Here is a 19,788-nt window from a genome sequence, read left to right on the forward strand (position 1 = left end):
TTCTCTTGAACTATGACAGCAGAGTTGAGTGCCTGCAGCAGGGACAGTGTGGCCCCCAAAGCCTGAACTATTGACTACCTGGCCCTCCTCGGGTAAAGTTTGCCAATCCCTGTACAGTGTCATGCCGACTGAAGCTACCTGCTTCAGAGCGAGGTGCTGACCTTGAGCTGGATGTTTAGTGGTGTCTTTAAGGACAGAGAAGGCAGAAACGGTGCTCCAGGCCGAGAAAGGATAGATGCGAGAAAGGGGAACGTGCTCTGGAAAGGAGGAACGGTTCCGTGTGTGAAGAGAAGGGGACGTTGATGAAGTTGGAGAGGTAGGTGGGGCTGGGTGGTTGAGGCCGGGCCAGAGTTTACAGGCAGGACAGGTGACCGTGAGTCCCAGAGGTTCACTGAGCTTCAGAGTCGCCCAGATTTGCATGTCAGAAACATCTCTATTACCTATTCCTTGTAAATTTCTAGCATACTGAACATAACCTGTATGGAGAAGAGCATACAAAGTAAATATTCTCTCAAAACAGTTATTTTGGGGGCAGAGAAGTGATAGGGAAACAACATAAATGTTGAATAATGGGGAAAAAGCTGATACTAAATAAAGCAAAGTTCTGTTTCAATGTGCAATATGAGGTTCTCAAATAATGATATGGAGGAAGTTCTTACTATAATTAAAAACAGATATAGGCTGGGCGCGATGGCTCACGCCTGTAATCCCAGGACTTTGGGAGGCCGAGGCTGACGGATCACCTGAGGTCAGAAGTTCGAGACCAGCCTGGCCAACATGGTAAAACCCCGCCTCCACTAAAAACACAAAAATTAGCCAGGCAGGGTGGCGGGTGCTTGCAGTCCCAGCTGCTTGGGAGGCTGAGGCAGGAGAGTCACTTGAACCTGGGAGGCGGAGGTTGCAATGAGCTGAGATCGTGCCATTGCACTCCAGCCTGGGCGACAGAGTGAGGCTCCATCTCAAAACAACAACAACAAAAAGATACAAAACAGTAGTATATGTGTTTTGGTCTCGACTGGGGACAGAGAAAGGCGGTTCTTTCATGTTCATGCCCCAACCTGAACACATGTAGAGAGACTGGTCTCCACCCTCCCATGCTCTTGGACTCCTGCTAGCCAAGCTCGCACCTCTTAAGCAGGACTGGGGGACTCCGAATGGCTCTAGTCGAGAGCAAAGACCTCAAGTACTGGCGTTTTCCCACCTCCCCCAAGAAAAAGCTGGCTTGCCTGTGGGTCACCCCGCAGTAAGTCTTGCTTGTCAGGCCGTGCAGCCACAGAGCTTCCTGTTAGCTTCTGTGTGTTTCATGTTTTTTATTTTTATTTTCTATGTGTAATATATCCATGTAAGAGTGTCTCATGTTTAAAAATGAGCAAAGGGCCAAGCATTAGCAGACAGAGAAAGCCTCCAATATGAGAGAGGGGTCAAAGCAAACAAGTAGAAAGAAGGAACTCAGAAAACAGACTGAGAGAGTAAAAGGCAATGAATTTTTCTTTCTTTTCTTTTCTTTTATTTTTTTTAAGACAAGGTTCTGCTGTCGCCCAGGCTGGAAATGCAGTGGTACGACCTCAGCTCACTGTAGCCTCAACCGCTGGGCTCAAGCCATTCTCCTGCCTCAGCCTCTCGAGTGGCTGGGACTACAGGATCACGCCACCACGCCCAGCCAACTTTCGTATTTTTAGTAGAGGCGGGATTTTGTCGTCTTGCTCAGGCGGGTCTTGAACTCCTAGCCTCAAGTGATATGCCCCCCTCGTCCTCTCAAAGTGCTGGGATTACAGGCATGAGCCACCGTGCTCAGCATAGAAATATTTTTTAAAGCCCTAGAAGTAATAGCCTCAAAGAAAGAATGATACCCAGTTATACCCATGGAAAAAAAGAGCATTTTACTTAAAAGAACAGCTGGAGAATAAAATAAAGTGCTTGTAAATTAAATTTATGAATGACAGCCGAAATAAAAATGCAGGAAAGTTATAATATCATTCAGGGAATCTTCTAGAATGCAGAATAAAAAAGACCAGTGGTGGCTGACACTTGGAATTCCAGCTACTTGACAGGCTGATGCCAGGAGGATCCCTTGATCTCAGGAGTTCAAGACAAGCCTGGGCAACAGAGTGAGGCTCCATCTCTTTCAGAAAAGAAAAGACCAAGAAATACAAGATAGGTTGTAAAAGATCATAAAATTAGAACATTAGTACAAGAGGCCCAAAATCCAATTAGTAGGAATTTCAGAAAGGGAAAACAAGAAATACAGGAGATGAAATAATAAATAATATAAGAAAAGTTTCCCAGAACTGAAGGACAGGAATCTCCAGATTGAAAAAGGTCTACCAAGTGTCCAGCATGATAAATGAAAAAAGAATCATTAAGACATCAGAACACCAAGGATAATGAGAAGACCCTGAAGGCTGCGAGAGATAAACTGACTGTCAAAAAAGGTTGCATACAAAGAACCGGGGGTCAGAATGGTAGCCAACTTCCCAGCTGCAACACTAGAACTTAAAATATAACGGAGACCTTCAATATTCTCAGAATTCCATTCCTGGTAAATGTCAATCACGTGTGGAGGTACGAAAAGATATTTTCAGTTGTGCAAAGGATGAACCAAAAAGTACTCTGGATGCACCTTTTCTGAGGAAATTGCAGCAAAAAGAGAGTAAATCAAGAAAGAAGAATACATTGGATCCAGGAGTCAGGGGAGCCAACGAAGATGAAGGTTGAAGTCAAGTTCCAGAATGACAGTGTTGAGGTAGCCCTGTAGAAACAGTACCCCAAATTGTGCCAATAGAATTAATAAAATTGTAGTAGGAGAATTGAGGACTCCTGCTGAGGGAGACCCCAAAAATCATGGTACCAGCACGTTTGAGTGTATGGAGATTTGTCAATAGGCATGTGACAGTGATTTGGAGCACTTAGAAAGATTTATAGAAAAGTAAACCTAATTAAAATGGCAATTAAAAATTCCAAGAAAAATAAAATGTGGAAAGGACGTATGCATTATCTGCTGCAGCAGTGAACAATACTTGTGCAGTTAAACTGTTAACAATTAAATCCTGAGGCAGAAACTGTTAAGAAAAAATAATAAGATGTTAACAATTATTGATTTAACCAAATGTTATAATAAGCATTGTCCTAAATGTAGGGAGTATATGGGGGGAACGTATTGTGGTTGGGGAGTATGGGGGGGAACGTACTGTGGTTGGGGGGTTGGGGGAGGGGCAGCGGTTCCCATCACCCAGCTCCACCCTGACCCTGCCTCCTTCCTGCCCCCAATAGCTGACCTCTGTCGGGACAAGTTCTCCAAATGTGGCGTGATGGCCAGCAGCGGCCTGTGCCAATCCGTGGCGGCCTCCTGTGCCAGGAGCTGTGGGAGCTGCTAGGGTGGTGCTGGCATCCTGAGTCCTGGCCCTCCTGGGATCTGGGGCCCTCGGGCCCTGCCTGACCTGGTGCTTTTTTCCCCATCCCCATGTTCCTTTTATTCTGTAAAAAGTTAGTGGACTGCAGCCCTGGGGGTTGCAGGCTGCGGTGCCTCAGGCCCCTCCTTCAGCCTGTGGCCACCTCTGGGGCACAATGGGGGCTCCCCACTGCCCAGTCTGCCCCTCGGGTTGGGGGAGTATCCCAGGCCTCTCTGTGGGACCTGGGCCCCTGACGGGCCTTCTCAGCCCGTTTTGAGGACAGACAGTCCCCCGAGGTAGGCTACATCCCCCCACCCCAGCTGGTCTGCTTGGATTTCCTACAGCCCCCGTGGGCATGGACCACCTTTATTTTATACAAAATTAAAAACAAGTTTTTACAAAAGATCAAGTCACTTTTTCGGTGGAGAGCACAGAGGGGCCAGCCAAGTGCCCCCAACGCGGACTGTCCTGAGAGGCTCCTGACCCCTTGGAGTGAACGATCTGCTCAGGTGCCCTGTGCTTCCGCAGTCCCAGCCCCACCGCCTTACCCGCCGGCTCCAGCTCTGCCCTGCCCAGAACGCTGCGTCATGACAGTGTACGCGCGCATGCGTGTTGTGGGAATTGCACGGGAGATGGAAGGCTTCAGGGACACAGCTTTCTGATGACCGGGGCTGCTTGGTGAGCACATTGAGTTCCCATCACCAGAGGAACACAGCAAAAATGGGAGGCCGCCCATGGGGTGGGGGGGGCACAGGGTCAAGGCAGGCGGACTGACATCCAAGGCCTTTGTTTGGGAAGTTGGGGAGATGGGTGCCATTAAGAGGGCAAAAAAAGCGGGGCACAGGGACTCACACCTATAATTCCAGCACTTAGGGAGGCTGAGGCGGGCGGATCACTTGAGGCCAGGAGTTCGAGACCAGCCTGGCCATGGCGAAATCCCGTCTCTAGTAAAAATACAAAAAAAAATTAGCCAGGCGTGGTGGCGTGTGCCTGTAATTCCAGCTACTCAGGAGGCCGAGGCACAAGAATTGCTTCAATCTGGGAGGCGGAGGTTGCAGTGAGCCGAGATCGCGCCACTGCACTCCAGCCTGGGCGACAGAGCAAGACTGTGTCTCAAAAAACAAAGGGCAAAAACAAGCAAGCCATTGTAACACCTCCCCTCCCCTCCCCTCCCCTCCCCTCCCTACAACATCCAGCCCAAGGCAGCTGCCAATTTCTTTTCTATCTCTATAGATTTGCTTCTCCTGGAAACTTCATTCAAATGGAATTATACAGTGTGTGGTCTTTTTTCTCTGGCTTCTTGTACTTAGAATGACATGTCCAAGGTTTGTCCACATTGTAATGTGTTAGAATTTCATTCCTTTTTAAGGCTGAATCATCCGTTGTAAGGATAGACCAATTTTATTCAACTGTTCATCAGTGGATGGGTGTTTGGGCTGTTTCCACCTCGTGGCTGTTACAGATATGCTGCCGTGGAAAATTCATGTACGAGTTTTTGTGTGGACATATTCTTTCTCTTGGCTATTTGAGGTTTTAAACTAGACTTGTATGCCTTTGAAAATATTTGAATTAAAAATTAGAGGCTGGGCACAGTGGCTCATGTCTGTAATCTGAGAGCTTTAGGAGGCCAAGGAGGAGGGATTGCTTGAGGTCAGGAGTTTGAGACCAGCCTGGGTGACATAGCAAGACCCCAGTCTCTACAAAATATAAATATAAAAATCTAAATGAATAAACATTAGAAATGTACTGAAATGTTAATGGTAGTTAGGTGATATTATAAAATTCTCTAACTTGAACATGTTACCATTAACATCAGAAAAATAAGATAAAAAATAATGCTCTATTGCGTTTTCATAACACCAGCTTAAACAGTCCTACCATTTTAAGAAAGCAGAACCATGAACTATGCTTATAGGCATTTGCTGACATTTTCCTGTTATGTTTTAAAGCTAATTATGTTAATGGTACACTCCACCTTGAAAATGTCACCAGCGTTCAGTGAATCTAAAATTTGGTCTTGGGTCTCGTATGCTAGGGCGAGTAAGAGGCTATGCTCTGTGTAAAAAAACAATTTAAAAACGAAGTAATATTCTTCAGAAATAAAAACAAGTTGATTAAGACTAGAATAGAGCCACAGCCTTGGCAGAAGAGGGTGGCAAAGGGAGCCACAGACGTGAGTCGGCTAAGGTTTTGTTTTATAAACCAAATAACAATATCCAATAATAATCCCTTGTTAGTGTTAGCAATTAAGATGTCTGCTTCTAGAATATTACACCAGAGTGAGTTTCCTTGGATTTGCCTCCATATAACCAGAAAAATCCAACATCTTATTTAGCTGCAACATGATTTTGTAATCATACAAACATTTTGGTATAAAAAACAAACATTATCCTAAAATAGAGATGCTGAGAACTTCCATTTGGGGAAGGGGTCCAGAATGAAAAAATCCAATCCCTTAAAGAAAGGATTCGAGAATACGTACCTGGTGTTCTTGATTTCTCCCCTGGTTCTCGATTGCTCGAAAGAGCTCCTCACACACAGTTGGAATAATACCCTGTTTGCACCAAACCCAATCATGGAATAGCTTTTCCCAGAGCCAGTTTGGCCATAGGCTAGGAGAGTTGCATTATAGCCTTGCCAAGCACTGTCCAGAATTCCCCTGCCAAGGTCATGGAAGACGTCTCTCTGGAAAGATGACAGGTGGCATATTCAGCACAGGCCAGTGGCATGCAGATTTCCTCTTCCCTACTTTCTGAGTCCTCTTAAATCTGAATAAGTATCCTGACTTTCATAAATCCCACCTCGATTCATAGCGTATGACCTGCTTGAAATACAACTCAGATGCCGGCTTAGAACAGGTGGAGTGAAACTGAAAGGATTTGTCAATTTGGAAAACACTCATCATTTACATTCATGGATCACATCGGGTACATCCTAAACTAGCTAATCCCTGTTGGTCATGAAATTGCATAGTTCATAGCCTTGCCAAAACACGGGCCAGGTCTTTAAAATTAAGCAATTAGACAAAAATATCAAGGCACAGAAGCCAGTCAAAGCATTTTCTACTACTTTATTCGTTGACTCAAACAATAACATCACAATATAGCCACACTGATTTTAGTCCTCTGCTAGTGAGCTCTTCTCTTTTTCTGCTTTTTCCAGTGGTTCTGGAACACACACACACACACACACACACACACACACACACACGTGCATCCCCCTTTTTTAAGTTAAAATAGAAATGTTTGTGCCCACTGTTGCTGAAAGAGAGGGGATGTGGTCTGCCTCCTTTTATCATCTGGGCTGTGACCATAGACCGCAATAGTTATCTTATTTGAGGCTGTTTCAAAGTGTATATTTCTTCCTACTCTCTAATAGCAATGGTAAAGCACTAAGCATTATTCCATTTGTTACGATATATACATTTGTATAATTTATTTCATGTTTCTGGGGAAAATGCACATACCAACATAGTGTGATTTACATGAGGACAATAGACAATAACCAACGTTCATGTAATATTTGAGAAAGGGATAAAAATTATTCCACCAAAAGGGTTAGGGGAGCTCTAGACTTTAAAATGTGGAGTCTCACCAGTGGTTTCCCAGAACACTGTGACTGTACTTTTACCAGAAGAAATATATTAGTGTAACAGATGTTGACTCTACTGTAGAAGCTGTGTGCTAAACCTAACACATGCCTACCAAGTAAAAGTAACTAGTTTTGCTGTTTTGTTTTCTCAGTGCTATTGGAGATTTCGGAAAACATTTTGTGTGTGTGCTTAATTTTTATGGATTGAAAACTTTAAACAAGTAATATGGGCCAGGCGCGGTGGCTCATGCCTGTAATCCCAGCACTTTGGCAGGCCAAGGTGGTGGATCACCTGAGGTCAGGAGTTCGAAACCAGACTGGCCAGCATGGTGAAACCCCCATCTCTACTAAAATACAAAAAATTAGCCAGGTGTGGTGGCAGGTGCCTGTAATCTCTGCTACTCAGGAGGCCGAGGCAGGAGAATCACTTGGACCTGGGAGGCGGAGGTTGCAGTGAGCCGAGATTGCACCACTGTACTCCAGCCTGGGCAACAGAGGGAGACTCTGTCTCAAAAAACAAAACAAACCCCAGGTGTTGGCATGGCCACGCTGCCTCAGAAGCCTCTAGAGGAGAAGACTCCCTTGCCTCTCCCTAGCTTCTGGTGGCTCCCGGTGGTGCTCAGGGCTCCTCCCCTCGCTGCTGCTTCGCTCCACTTGGTGTCCTCTGCCACATGGTTCCCCATGTCTGAGTGTCCAAATTTCCTCCTCCCTACAAGGATTGGACTTAGGGCTCCCTCAAATCCAGTATGGCCTCATCTGCCAAGATGCTGTTTGCACGTAGGGTCCCATTCTGAAGTTCTAGATGGACGTGAATTTTGGGGGGTCACTATTCAACCCATTACAGCACCTTTGTAGAGAATCAGTTGATGATATGTATGAGGGTCTATTTCTGGACACTCTATTCTGTTCCATTGATCCATATGTCTATCTTTAAACCAGTACCAGGCCAGGTGTGCTGGCTCATACCTGTAACCCAGCACTTTGGGAGGCTGAGGCAGACAGATCACCTGAGGTCAGGAGTTTGAGACCAGCCTGGTCAACATGAGGAAACCCCATCTCTACTAAAAATACAAAAATTAGCCAGGCATGGCGACATGTGCCTGTAATCCCAGCTACTCGGGAGGCTGAGGCAGGAGAATCGCTTGAACCCTGGAGGCTGAAGTTGCAGTGAGCTCAGATCACGCCATTGCACTCCAGCCTGGGCTACAAGAGGGAAACTCCCTCTCAAAAATAAATAAATAATAAAAAACCAATACCATGCTATCTTGATTACTGTAGCTTTGCGATGGGTTTTACGTTCTCCAACTTCATTCTCTTTCAAAATAATTTTGGCCATTCTGAGTCCTTTTTACAATTCCATGTAAATTATTGAAATAGTGTATCAATTTCTATCAAAAATGCCTGCTGGGGTTTTGATTGGGATTGCTTTGAATTTGTTGATCAATTTGACTTCTGAATAATATTGTCTTCTTATTTATTTAAGTCTTCCTTTCAGTAATGTTTTATAGTGTTCAGAGCTCAGTTTTTGCACATATTTTGCTAAATCTATCGTTAAAGTGTTTCATGTTTTTGATACTATTGTTCATATTTAAAAATTTCATTTTCCAATTGTTCATCGCTATTATAGTTTAGAGAAATACTATTGCTTTCTGTATATTGACTTTTCTAAACACAGTTATTAACTGTAGTAGCTTTTTTGTTTTGTAGAGCACTTAGGATTTTTATTTTTTATTTTATTTTTGGAGATAAGGCCTCACTATGTGGCCCAAGCTGGACTGCAGGTGCCATTCACAGGTGCGATTATAGCCCACTGAGGTCTTGGACTCCTGGCCTCAAGTGATCCTTCTGCCTCAGCAGGATTCATGTCATCTGCAAATAGTTTTACTTCTTTTTCTTTTTTCTTTCTTTTCTTTCTTTTTTTTTTTTTTTTTTTTTTTTGAGACGGAGTCTCCCTCTGTCGCCCAGGCTGGAATGCAGTGATGCGATCTCAGCTTACTGTAACCTCTTCCTCCTGGGCTCAAGTGATTCTCTTACCTCAGCCTCCCAAGTAGCTGGGATTACAGGCACCCACCACCAAGCCCAGCTAATTTTTTTTTTTTTTTTTTGTAATTTTAGTAGAGACAGGTTTCATTGTGTTGGCCAGGCTGGTCTTGAACTCCTGACCTCAGGTGATCCGTCTGCCTCGGCCTCCCAAAGTGCTGGGATTACAGGCATGAGCCATCGTGCCCAGCCTTCTTTTTCTTTTATTTTTTGAGACAAGGTCTCACACTTGTCCAGGCTGGAGTGAAGTGGTGTGACCTCAGATTGCTGCAGCCTCTGCTTCCCCAGGTCAAGTGATTCTCCTACCTCAGCCTCCTAAGTAGCTGGGATTGCAGGCGTGCACCACCATGCCCGGCTAATTTTTGTATTTTTTGGTAGAGACAGGGTTTCACCATGTTGGTCAGGCTGCTGGTCTGGAACTCCTGACCTCAAGTGATCCTCCTGCCTTGGCCTCCCAAAGGCGTGAGCCACCTGCCCAGCCTACTTCTTCTCAATCAGCGTATTTCTTATTTCCTACCAATGGTCTTTGCCCTGGCTAGAACTTGTAGTGAATGTTGTATAGCAGTGACGGGAATAGACACCCTTGGCTTGCCTGCCGTCCTATGGAGAACACCTGCTTCACCATCAAACATGATGGAAGCTGCTTTCCAGGCAAGTTCTATTTCTAGGAAACTTCCTCTCATTTGTTGAGAGGTTGAGAATTTTATGATTGAGGGTTAAATTTTGTCATTCTTTTTGCAGCCAATCATATTTTTTCTCCTATATTCTATTCTAGATCATGAACTTTAAATGTTAAAACAATTTTACATTCCCAGGAAAGGGCCCACTTGATAGTGATTGGGCTTGATTGATAGTGACAGTAATATATTAAGGCCCACCCGATATATGATTCGATTGTGTTTGCTGAAACTTTGATAATAATTTTTGTGTCTGTGTTCATGAAAGATAATGGCCTATAGTGTTTTTGTAATATCTTTGGCTGCTCTTGTTGGAATACTGGCTTTGTAAAATGAAATGGGAGTGTTTACTATGATCTGCATTTTTTTTTTATTTCTTTCTTTGGTAGAATTCACCAGCAAAGATACCTGGAAATGGAGTTTCTTTGTGAGGTTTTTAGGTACAAATTCAATTTATTTAATAGATACAGGACTATTTGAGTCATCTATTTCTTTGCATGAACTTCAGTAGCTTGTGTCCATTTGTTGTTGAATGTATTGGCATTAAGTTGTTCAAAATATTTTTAATCACTCTTTTTAAAAAAGGGAGATTTGCCCAGGCTGGCCTGAAGCTCCTGGCCTCAAGCAGTCTCCAGCCTCAGCCTCCCAAAGTGCTGGGATTGCAGTTGTGAGCCACCCAGCCTTCTCAGTCTTTTAATGTCCCTGGGATCACTTATGCTCTTGGTATTTGGCTTATCAATTTTATGGATGTTTTCAAAGAACCAGCTTTAGGTTTCAGTGTTTTTTCTCTATTGTTTTACTGTTTTTCGTTTCATTAATTATCACTTTTATCTTTTTTCTTCTGCTGCTTGTTTTATGTTTAATTTGCTCTCTTTTTAAATTCTTAACTGGAAGATTACAATGCCAAGTTGAGATGATGATTCTCTAATGTAAGCTTGACTGCTAGAAAACCTCCCCCAGCTCCATTTAGATGCGTCCCACATATGAAAATATATGTGTGTATATATGTGTGTGTGTATGTGTGTATATGGGTGTGTGTATTTGTGTGTGTATATGTATATTTGTATATATGTATATGTATGTCTGTGTATTTGTGTATCTGTATACATGTATGTGTGTTTGTGTATGTGTGTATGTGTATGTGTGTATGTGTGTGCATATGTATTCTGTGTGTTTGTGTATATGTGTGTATGCGTGTATGTGTATGTGTGTACATGTGTATATGTGTGCATGTGTAGTGTGTATGTGTATTTGTGTGTATGTGTGTATATGTATGTGTGTATGTATGTGTGTATATGTGTATATTTGTGTGTATATGTATGTGTGTATATGTGTATCTGTGTGTATATGTGTATATGTGTGTATATGTGTGTATATTTGTGTGTATATGTTATCTGTGTGTGTATATTTGTGTATATGTGTGTGTATCTGTGTGTATATTTGTGTGTATATGTGTGTGTATCTGTGTGTATATTTGTGTGTGTATATGTGTGTGTATATTTGTGTATGTGTGTGTATAGGTGTGTATAGGTGTGTGTGTATGTGTGTGTATATGTGTGTGTGTGTATATATTTGTCTATCCTGACTGCATACTCCATGCTTGTTCTACACATTTTGACAGGTGTCTTGAGTTGCCTTTTTTTTGTCTTTTAAACATTTTTTTAAACTTATTTTTTATTTTTTGTAATACTGTTTCTCTGGCCTCTTCCTTGTAAGTAGTGTTTTGATTTTCATTCAGTTAAAAAAAATGTTTTCTAATTTCCCTAGTGGTTTTTTCTTTAACCAATGGATTATTTAGAAGTCTGCTATTTTCCAAATGCTTGTGAATTTCCCAAATATTTTTCTTCTAGTTTAACTCCAGTGTGGTCAGAAAACATACTTCATATGATTTCAATTTTTTTTTTTTTTTTTTTTTTTTTTTTTTTTGAGACAGGATCTCACTCTTATTGCCCAGGCTGGAGTGCAGTGGTGCAATCACGGCTCACTGCAGCCTTGACTTCCTGGGCTCGAGTGATCCTCCCACCTCAGCTTCCAAAGTAGCTGGGACCACAGGCGCGCACCACCATGCCCAGCTAATTGTTTGTATTTTTAGCAGAGACGGTTTTTCGTCATGTTATCCAGGCTGGTCTCAAACTCCTGGGCTCCGGCGATCCACCTGTCTTGGCCTCCCGAGGTGCTAGGATTATAGCCACACACCACCATGCCCAGCCAATTTCAGTCCTCTTACACTCACATTTATTGAGGCGAGTTTTATGATCTGAAATACTGTCTATCATGATGAATGTTCTGTGTGTACTTACAAAGAAAGAATGCGTGTGCTGTGGTTGGGTGGGAAGTGGTTGACATGTTTTATGATATAATTGTCAATTAGGTTGATATTATTCTGCTCTTCTATAATATGACAGTTTTGTCAATTACTGAGATAGCTAGGAGTGTTGAAATCACTAAATACAGTTGTAGATTTGTCTATTTTTCTGTTTCTATTTTTGCTTTGTTTACTTTAAAGCTCATTTTTTAGGTACATACCCATTCAGGCTGGCTATGTTTCCTTAATGAACTCTTTCCTCATTATTAAATATTTCTTGTTCTGAAGCCTATGCAATGTGATGTAAATGTAGCCTCTAGTTTTTTTTTTTGTTAGTGTTTTCATGCTTTTTTTTTAAATATGTAAACCAGGTTTTTAAAAATCCTGTGATACAGAAGCACTTAAACCACCCCCAACCCACACACACATTTTGTAGACAGATATAGTTGGATCCTGCTTTTTCTATCTTATCTGATGATCTTTGCTTTTTAATTGGTCATGTTTAGACTATTTATGTTTTACATAATAATTGATATAAATTATTGGCATTAAATCTACTGTCTTGCTATTTGTATTCTACTTATCCCATCTCCTCTGTGTCTAAATCCCAAACATGGCAGGATAAGAGGGGTAAAGAATGTTTTATAGTTCCGTTTCCCCACACTTGACTCATTAGTTAGTTATACTTGTTTTATTTATTTATTTTGTATTGATTGCTCTAGGGCATCAGTTCACACAGTGCATTCCAGGGTCTGTGAGATCTTTTCAGGGTGTTTGTAAAGTGACACTTCCTTTTGTGATCGTACTAATGTTTGCTTTTTTCATTCTCATCCTCTCATGAGCGTAGAGTGGAGTAACGTGTGCAGTGGGATTTGCCAGAGGCTATGTAACGTGATTTTATAGATGACATGCAGGGCAGAGAATCAAGCTCTTTCATGAAGTCAGACATTACAGAGATTTCAAAAAATGGAAAGCAGTGCCATTCTCTTCAGTGTCGGCTCGAGTACTATTTTTTGGCCTGACATGGTGTTTCACACTTAAGATCCCATCACTTTGGGAGGCAGAGGCAGAAGGATCATTTGAGCCTAGGAGTTCGAGACCAGGCTGGGCAACAGAGCAAGAGCTCATCTCTAAAGAAAAATAAAAATAGATCGGGCGTGATGGCTCACACCTGTAATCCCAGCTCTTTTGGGAGCTGAGGCGGGCGGATGACTTGAGGTCAGGAGTTCGAGACCAGCCTGGCCAACATGGTGAAATCCCATCTCTACTAAAATACAAAAATTAGCCAGGTGTGGTGGCACACACCTGTAATTCCAGCTACTTGGGAGGCTGAGGCAGGAGAATCGCTTGAACCTGGGAGGCAGAAGTTGCAGTGAGCCAAGACTGCGCCACTGCACTCCAGCCTGGGTGACAGAGTGAGACTCCATCTCAAAATAAATAAATCAATAAATAATAAAAAAAATTACTTTTCATAAAAATATTTTTATATTATGTATGTTTACTAGTAATGGATTTTTAATGTTTTTATTAACTGATGTTAATAAAACATCACCCTGTGTTTGTAATAAAACAAACCCTGTGCTCTAGGGTCACAATAGATTTCTTTAAAATATTTTATTTTCAAATATTATATTACTTCCTCTATAATGCAAAACCTTCAAACAATATACTTCTGGTAGCTGTCTCGTTTTTTTTGGTGTAGTCATATTTTATTTCTGTATTTGTTTTGAATCCCAACAGAATTTATTCTTGCTTTGACAATCAGTGATCTTTCTGAAAGATTCAAAATTAGAAAAAAATTTTCTTGGGCACAGTGTTCTAGGTTGAGAATTTCTTTTCTTTTCTTTTTTTTTTTTTTTGAGATGGAGTCTCATTCTGTCACCCAGGCTAGAGCGCAGTGGTGTGATCTCAGCTCACTGCAACCTCCATCTCCTGGGTTCAAGTGACTCTCCTGCCTCAGCCTCCCTAGTAGCTGGGATAACAGGCATGTGCCACCATGCCCAGCTAGTTTTGTTTTGTATTTTTAGGAGAGATGGGGTTTCACCATGTTGGCCAGGCTAGTCTTGAACTCCTGACTTCAAGCAATCTACCTGCCTCGGCCTTTCAAAGTGCTGGGATTACAGGCATGAACCACTGCTCCTGCCCAAGGTTGAGAATTGCTTTCAGCTCGTAAGTCTCTCCATTGTGTTCTAGCTCGCATAATTCTGACAATATATCTGCGGTCATTCTTGTTGTTCCTCCATCTTTTCTCACTTGTTTTAAGATTTTATCACTGGATTAGAGCAATTTAATTAAAATGAGACTTACTGTGATTTTCCTTATTCTACTTAGGACTTATTGCTCTTCTTAGACCTGTGGGTTTATAGTTTCCATCAAATTTGGGAAAATTTCAGCCATCATTCCTTCAAGTATTTTTTGCACACACGCCCCTCCCATTCTTTCTGTGACTCCAATTACATGTAGAGTAAGATTGTCCCACATGTCACTGAGGCTCTGTTCATTTCCTCCCCATAACTTTTTCTGACTGTTTCTCCTTGTCTGTCAAAATTCAGCCTAAACATCATACCCTTTATTAAACCATTCACCAGATATCCTGTCTAGATTGAATGACCACCTCACCTTTGTACCCCACTGTATCCCATACATCTTATCACAGAGCCTGTAACATCTGAGTGTACTTTTTTCCTGTCTCCCCAAACCAAATTGTGAGCAACTTTCAGGCAGAACAGTGCATGGCATATGATAAATGCTCATTAAAACAGAAGTTCTCAGATGCTAAGTGCCTCATACAGTTTGCTTATTTTGCTTATCTCAAGGAAGCAAAATATAATTGACTTGACTGTCATACCTTTTTCAGTGTGTCAATACATTGGCAAATGAACTGATTTGAGTATCTAAAAATTACTTAGGCCATAGCTGTGTTTTTGGACCTCACGTTCAGCATAGAAAAGGAGTAAATTTAAAGTGAAATTCTCATATGGAAACATAGATTTATGCTTGCATAAAATTATTATACTTTCACACTGTGAACACATCATCAAAAACAAAACAACAAAAAACTGGCATTGAAGCTGTGTTTTAAAGCAACTTACCTGGCCTGCAAATTTACGACTAGGATCAGCTGAAATAAGGACACCATCCTTATCCCTTTGAAATCCATTGTGAGACCAATATGCCAGGTCAAAAGTAAATGTCTTCACATGCTCTGGATTCTTAGGGTCCTGTGTAGTGGTGGTAGTTCTGGAATGCATGGAAATCACACATTTGCTCCCAGAATTCTTCTCTCTCTACAGTCAAATTACAAATTCGGAGTCAATCATTCCAGTTTCTCTTTGTTATCCAAGTTCATTGTTTTGCAAGTCTTTATACCTAGTAAGAAATTAAGCCAAGAACTTACCCTTCCCTCAGTTTGTTCTCTAATTGTGTTACTTTTAGCAGCTATTATGACAAGCAGTTGTTCCTGTACTCCCTCGGAATTTTTGAAAGGCTTGTCTCTAGTCACATTAACTTTCTGAGAAGAGCTGGCTCTCTAACACCCAGGTATACTAATAACAATAACTACAGTAGTGGAGATACTGACTTCCTGCATAACTGGTGAACTCCCCAGTAAAACTAGTGAAAAATTATCCATTAAAAAATGAAAATGAAGAAAAAAAAACACTTTTTAATGGTCCTAAGGACAAACAGCACATGAAGAAACATCTATTCATGGCCGGGCGCGGTGGCTCACACCTGTAGTCCCAGCACTTTGGGAGGCTAAGGCGGGCGGATGACTTGAGGTCAGGAGTTTGAGACCAGCCTGGCCAACATGGTGAAACCCCGTCTCTACTAAAAATACAAAAATTATGTGTGTGTGATGGCAGGTGCCTGTAATCCCAGCTACTCAGGAGGCTACGGCATAAGAATAGCTTGAACTTGGGAGGTGGAGGCTGTAGTGAGCTGAGATTGCACCACGGCACTCCAGCCTGGGCGACAGAGTGAGACTGTCTCAAAAAGAAAAAAAAAAGCATCTATTCAAGAAAATGTACTAAAATTTGGTAAGAAAAGAGTTTGTGGTATTTGAAGCAAGATCATTCCTTTCCTTTCCCTGCCAGCTCAGGAAGGTGGAGATTCCACTCTGGACAGCTAGAGCCAGTAACACAGGGTTCTGTCTCTGCTCCAGATCGCAGCTGGAGGACTTTCTTCCAGGAAGATCAAGATATTAGCATTTCTCATTCTGCCTCTCTCTACCTGTTAGTGAGGCCAAGTGTCAGGTTAATTGGGGGTCTCCCTTTCACACCCAGCTCTCACTCGAGGAATGGAGGCTCTATTTTGGTTGCAGCATGCTGAGCTTACTGGAGTACTTACCACTTTTGCCCTGGGTCCTGAGAGGGTTCAACACCAGGAGAGACAAGCTGAGAGGACCTTAGGCTAGGACCCCACCTCCACTGAGGACTCAGCTCCTAGAGCAGGTGTCATCTGAAGAGCAATTGACTATTGTTCACACATCCAATTCCAGAGCTCTGGCTTAGAGATTTTGCCTGGGGGATAATTAGGCCATACAACCCATGGTGCCTAACATCTCTTCCTAAAGGAACTGACTTCATTTGTAACAGATTGGGGAAGTTCAAGCCTAAGGATGCCCTCGAGAATGGTGGAGGTTGTGATGAAAGACAACTGAGAAAAGAGTCAAATACAAGTAAAAGTGTATGCCCTCTAATTTGTGGGGATGAACTGGAGAATAAGATAGCTGGAAGGTCAAAAAATATCAAACACTGGTTTTAGAAACGATTCCCTGCAAAGGAAGCAGAATTTGATCAGATTCACTTGTAAAGCAATTTATACCCCAGGACATTGTTGAAAACAATAATCAGCCAGCAAATAGTGAAGTTTAACAGCTGGGCATGGGCAAGGAAAGACAGGAAGGGGGCCCTACCAAAACCATTGTTCTCCCAGCGTGACTGGGGCAGACCCAAAACTGTGCTTCCCTAAGGAACAACGGTGGGGGCTGGGGGACATAATAGACTTTACTAAAATAATTCAGCCAGTCACTAAACAAACTGGCAAATGAAAGTAACAAGCCACAGAGGAGACGCAGAGCTAGGAGCTGCTACAATATATCTACAATGTCCAGTTTCTAAGAAAAAATTAGGAGGCACGCAAAGTAACAGGAAAGTATGATCCATACACTGAGGAAGAAACAGGTAACAAAAACAGAGTGAGCAGATGCAGGATTTATCAGAAAAATACTTTTAAAGTAGTCATTATGAATATATTCACAGAATGAAAGAAAACTATGATTAAAGAAAGGATTATAAAGGAATACTTTGAACAAATAAATACCAACAAATTAGATAACTTAGATGAAATAAATTCCTACAAAGGCAGAAATAACAGAAATTGACTCAAGAAAAAAATCTAAATAGACCTAGAACAAGGGAAGACATAGAAGTAGAAATGCTGGCCGGGCGCGGTGGCTCACGCCTGTAATCCCAGCACTGTGGGAGGCCGAGGCGGGTGGATCACGAGGTCAGGAGATCGAGACCATCCTGGCTAACATGGTAAAACCCCATCTCTACCAAAAATAGAAAAAATTAGCCAGGCGTGGTGGCAGGTGCCTTTAGTCCCAGTTACTTGGGAGGCTGAGGCAGGAGAATGGCCTGAACCCAGGAGGCAGAGCTTGCAGTGAGCCAAGATTGTGCCACTGCACTCCAGCCTGGGCGACAGAGTGAGACTCTGTCTCAGAAAAACAAAAACAAACAAAAAACTACATGCCGGGCACGGTGGCTCACACGTGTAATCCCAGCACTTTGGGAGGCTGAGGGAGGTGGATCATGAGGTCAGGAGTTCGAGACCAGCCTGACCAACATGGTGAAACTGTGTCTCCACTAAAAATACAAAAATTAGCCGGGCGTGGTGGTGGGTGCCTGTAATCCCAGCTACTCAAGAAGCTGAGGCATGAGAATTGCTTGAACCCAGGAGGTGGAGGTTGCAGTGAGCTGACGCTGCGCCACTGCACTCCAGCCTGGGTGACAGAGTGAGACTGCGTCTCAAAAAGAAAAAACACAATTACAAACCATTATCTCTTATGATTATGCGTGCAAAAATCCTCAACAAAATACTATGAAACTAAATCCAGCAATGTATAAAAAGAATTGCATACCACGACCAAATGGAATTTATCCTAGGGCTTCAAAGTTGGTTCAACAACGGAAATTATTGTATTAATCGTATTTTAAAATTTTCTGTATATATGAAAAAATATATACATATGTATAGAAGCTTTGAGACATTTGCTTCCCCACATTACCAATCATGATTATGTCATAATTATGAGTAGCTGTCTTTTTTTTTTTTTTTTTTTTTTGAGACTGAGTCTCGCTCTGTCACCCAGACTGGAGTGCAGTGGCATGACCTCGGCTCACTGCAAGCTCCGCCTCCCGGGTTCACGCCATTCTCCTGTCTCAGCCTCCCAAGTGGCTGGGACTACAGGCACTCACCACCATGCCCAGCTAATTTTTTTGTATTTTTGGTAGAGACGAGGTTTCATCTTGTTAGCCAGGATGGTCTCGATCTCCTGACCTTGTGATCCGCCCATCTCGGCCTCCCAAAGTGCTGGGATTACAGGCGTGAGCCACCGCGCCCGGCCGAGTAGCTAAGTCTTATATCTCCTCAGGAAAACATAGCACTATTCACTATGGCATCCTGTGGAGATCTATACTTTATGATGGTTTGACGTCCTGCAGCTCACCAAGGCTATCAGATTCTTAGAGATAGCAAACAACTTGCCTTTCATGTGCAAACCAATCAATCAAAGCCCATATCCCCACTACCCCCTCTGTGTAACTCCTGTACACCAATCAAAGCCCATATTCCCAACTACCTCCTCTATCTAAGTCCTATACAGCAGTCAAAGCCCATATCCCCAACTACTTCCTTTATCTAACTCCTATACACCAATCAAAGCCCGTATCCCCAACTACCTCCTCTATCTAACTCCTATACACCAAGCCAGTACTTCCCCTGCTCTAAATCACCCCCAAGGCCAGGTACGAAACAACTAAAGACCACTCTTAAAGGTCAGAGTCCATCAAAATTATTCATACTATCCAATCCTAAACTTGTCAAACTTGTCTCCTCTGCCTTGCCCATTCCTTCCTGCAGAAACTACGGCAAAAGCTCTAAGTCCTGCTCTCTCCTTTGTTTTGCCTGTTCTTGGTACTTCCCCATGTGGCTCTGCATGGTGTGGCACGCCCCCCTTTAACTGTAAGGCAGTTACATAATTTTGTGGGTACCCACAAAAATAAAAAATTATAAGGCCGGGTGCAGTGGCTCACGCCTGTAATCCCAGCACTTTGGGAGGCCAAGGTGGGTGGACCACCTGAGGTCAGGGGTTCGAGACCAGCCTGGCCAACATGGTGAAACCCTGTCTCTATTAAAAATACAAACAAAAAAATTAGCCGGGCATGGTGGAGGGCACCTGTAATCCCAGCTACTTGGGAGGCTGAAGCAGGAGAATCGCTTGAACCTGGGAGGTGGAGGGTGCAGTGAGCTGAGATTGTGCCACAGCACTCTAGCCTGGGCAACAAGAGTGAAAAACTGTCTCAAAAATAAATAAATAAATAATGATAAAATAGGAATACATTTAATGAAAGAAGTACAAACCATACTCTGAAATCGATATGACTTTTTTTTTTTTTTTTTGTGAGACAGTCTCACCCTGTCGCCCAGGCTGGGAGTGTAGTGGCGCGATCTCGGCTCACTGCAAGCTCCGCCTCCCGGGTTCACACCATTCTCCTGCCTCAGC

General features: G+C 42.7%; 1 annotated feature.

Moving 5' to 3' along the window:
- Positions 1,098 to 1,147: an enhancer, noted in NCBI's record as "active region_2861". NCBI's record gives its function as "activates an Ori minimal core promoter by ATAC-STARR-seq in GM12878 lymphoblastoid cells {active_cell/tissue: GM12878}" and the evidence as "EXISTENCE:reporter gene assay evidence [ECO:0000049][PMID:35858748]".

This window comes from Homo sapiens, chromosome 1 (assembly GCF_000001405.40).
Source record: "Homo sapiens chromosome 1, GRCh38.p14 Primary Assembly".
Lineage (NCBI taxonomy): Eukaryota > Metazoa > Chordata > Mammalia > Primates > Hominidae > Homo > Homo sapiens.